We start from the raw sequence: 3,382 nt of genomic DNA, 5'->3' as shown, positions 1-3,382 counted from the left end.
GGCCCGCGTCTGTAGTCCCAGCTACTTGGGAGGCTGAGGCAGGAGAATCACCTGAGCCTGGGAGGCAGAGTTTGCAGTGAGCCAAGATCGCGCCATTGTACTCCAGCCTGGGTGGCAGAGCAAGACTCCATCTCAAAAAATAATACTAATAATAAATTGGTGTGTTCTGGTTTTACCTTACTAAGAAACTAAAAAAGTGACATTTGAGTCAAGAATAAAGAAGATGAGATAAACCATGCATATATTTAGAGAAACAGCATTCCAGACAGAGAGAGGAGCCAATCCAAAGTACTGAAGCAGTACCAAGCCCGCTCTGTTATACATGTATATACTGTGCGATATACATCTTCTATATAGATCTATAATAGGGCACATATGTAAGAAGATACATAATATATCTTCTATATATGTATATCTGTATCTATAGTAGGGCGTATATATAAGGATATATATATTTTATGTCTTCTTTATATATCATATCTTTTATATCTTATATGTATTTTTATTTCTTCTATATATATTCTCTACATATTTTTTAATATGTATGTAAATAGAAATATAAGAGGAAATTTTTAAATAAATAATTAAATATTTTAGCTCTGGAAAATAGAAATGTGTAACAAAACAAAAATGTAGTAGTGAAATAAAATATTTAACAAATCTAAGAGTAATTATTATCTAAAGTAGAAATAAATGAAGATAAAAATTGAAATAGGATGGCAGAAATGATTGGTGGTGTTTTTAGGGGTGTTATTTTAGTGTTTCAGCAGGACATGTACATAATAAAGTTTAATAGCACTTTCTTTTTAATACTTTTTGCTCTAAGAATAGTCAATCCAAAGAAAAATGGAGTAGCCTGCCCTTGGCAGTGAGAATTTTGCTTTCCTTAATTAGTAAGCTTTTACTCATCTTGCTATAGTAAGATTAAAAAAAACTTATTTGTAACATGTTATAAAAGATGGGACATCTTCAATTTTAAATCCAGTTTTAATTTTTTAGTAAAACTAAAGATCACTTACTTTGAAATCTTGTGAACTACCTCTGGATGTTTTCTATCTACCAGCTCTAAACTTTGTGCTCATACTCCATACAGTCACTTAGCACATCATATGCTTTATGTTAGTCACTTCCTTAAGTCCTTAGCATACACAATGGTGAAAAAGAAAAAGAAGAAAAATAAAAAAGAGTCTCTAGTCCTCAAATTTTACACGTCTGTTTGAAGGTAACAAAAATATGCCCCCAAATCTAGTGCTGACAAATATCCAGTTGGAAATAAAGTGGGACTAGATGGGAGATTTCCTAGTTAACAGGTGGTAGTGAGACAGACCTCTCTGAGAAGGTAACACTTTAGGTGACAGGATAGGAATATTTAGTGAAAGAATGTTGCAAGCAATAGCAACAACCAAATCCAAGGTTTCAGAGGAAGAAACAAATGTTGCTAGTTAGAAGAACATAAAACAATAATACTGCAACTTGAGTATAAGACTGGAGGAGAGGGTGAACAGGAGAGAAACAGAAAGAAGCAGAGAGAAACAGAAAGAGACAGAGAATTGGAAAACAAAGCTAGAGATGTAGGCATGATTTAGTTCAAATTGGTCTAATTTACCAAACAGAAAATACAGATTTCATTCTAAATGTGATTGCTTAGAGAGGGCTAAATTTTATCATCTCATGTAAATTTTAAAATAACATCCTGGGAATAAATTATAAAGAAGGAAAAATAGAAGCAGAGAAAGCCGGCAGAGGACTATTTCAGATGGTGTGTGATGACAGAGGATGACAAAAGCTTGGATCAGGGAGGTGATGTTAGCTATGAAAGCAAACAGTCAGGATATATTTTTGTGGTAAAATTAATGGAATTTGCTGATGGCTTAACTATTTGGGGGATGGAGAAAGATGTTACCAGCAATGATGCCTAAGTGTTTGGCTTGAGCACCTTGGTTGGTTGTACTGAGTTGGTGTCTGGGGAAATAATGAAGACTTTCACTTAAATTAAAATAGGAATGCTAGCCTAATATGCAAATCCTCATTATATTAACCCAAATCATCAAATCAAATATGCATCACTTTCTAATTTTTTATTTTATTTATTTACTTATTTTTCAATTGTTTTAAATAATAAAAAATATAATCTATTTTATATAGTTATATTTTTCATTAAATTAAATTTTTCAAATCTTATTAAAATAAAATTTGGCTAAATTTCTTGTCAAGAGTCTCTTTCCCTATCTGTAGAAGATAGCTATTGAAAGTATTACAAAGACCTGTGTCCGGAACTGAGTCGCGCATAAAACAGTCTTAGAAAATGTTCCCCATAGACAGTATTATACTGAGATGCAAGTTATTTCTTTTGGTAATTCTTGTAAAATCTATTCAGAGGAGAATATTTCAAAGCAATTCTGTAGCCATGCTGTGTTATTACACTCATTTCAGCTAAGAATACAATGTAGTGATTATTGTATTTTTATGATCTTGCATCCCTTTTATATGTGTTTAAATGTCTCTTAGAAGATGACTATGAAGATTGCCAAACACTTCAGCATAAAAGTCATACTCTTTTTATTTTATGATCCAGAAAATATCAACAGAGTATCTTTTTTTCCCTCAAGATTAAAAATATCGCCCTAGATTGTCGAGCACAATCTAAGTTTGTATTTGTGAGAGTTTCTCGAAGTCCTAAGGGGAAAATCATTGTCATTTTTTTTTTATTTGAAAAAGGTATTTGGTAACGAAGAAAACTTAGGGGCCGATTGAAAATCACCACCACTTGAATATACTTAAAAAAGGCATAAATCAGTTTACAGTATATAAAACAGAAAATAAATAACATACTGATTAAAAGAAAAATAGGTTCCTGCAAATGTGGATTACATTATCAAGTTTCCAATAAATTCATAAGCTCATGTATTTCCACTTTATTCTTTTTAAGTCAAACTCAATAGCTCATCTTTAAAGGTGTCTTAAACATACAGGTACAGCCATGTTACATTACCATATTTGATGTAAAATGCAAATTTACTACTAAAATAACTTTATTCCTATTTCACTGAAATTTTAATTATGACAAGATTATTTCTTTCTTCACATGCATTTGGAAAAATTAGAATAAATAAGCTAATAGAACATTTTAGCTCAAATATACTCATATATCTCTCTTTTTAACTTAAAATAGGTTTTTTTCTGATTACTTATAATACAGACAGAAAAATTGTGTTAATATATAAAAGGTAAAGATTAAAAATAATCAAGACACTCCTTTCCTATATATAACACTGCTATAAAATCATATATATTCAGACTTTGTATGCATATATAGATGTTTCTTGTTACTATAATATCAAATCATTAAATATTTGCTCTTTGGTAACATATTGTTTACCAA

At 30.8% G+C, this 3,382-nt stretch overlaps 1 annotated feature.

Moving 5' to 3' along the window:
* Positions 766-935: an enhancer, noted in NCBI's record as "experimental_93837 CRE fragment used in MPRA reporter constructs". NCBI's record gives its function as "activates a minimal promoter by MPRAs in K562 erythroleukemia cells, with activity observed for the introgressed 6:66669930 variant allele {active_cell/tissue: K562}" and the evidence as "EXISTENCE:reporter gene assay evidence [ECO:0000049][PMID:34662402]".

This window comes from Homo sapiens, chromosome 6 (genome assembly GCF_000001405.40).
Source record: "Homo sapiens chromosome 6, GRCh38.p14 Primary Assembly".
Lineage (NCBI taxonomy): Eukaryota > Metazoa > Chordata > Mammalia > Primates > Hominidae > Homo > Homo sapiens.
This window is presented reverse-complemented; position numbering and strand designations above follow the sequence as displayed.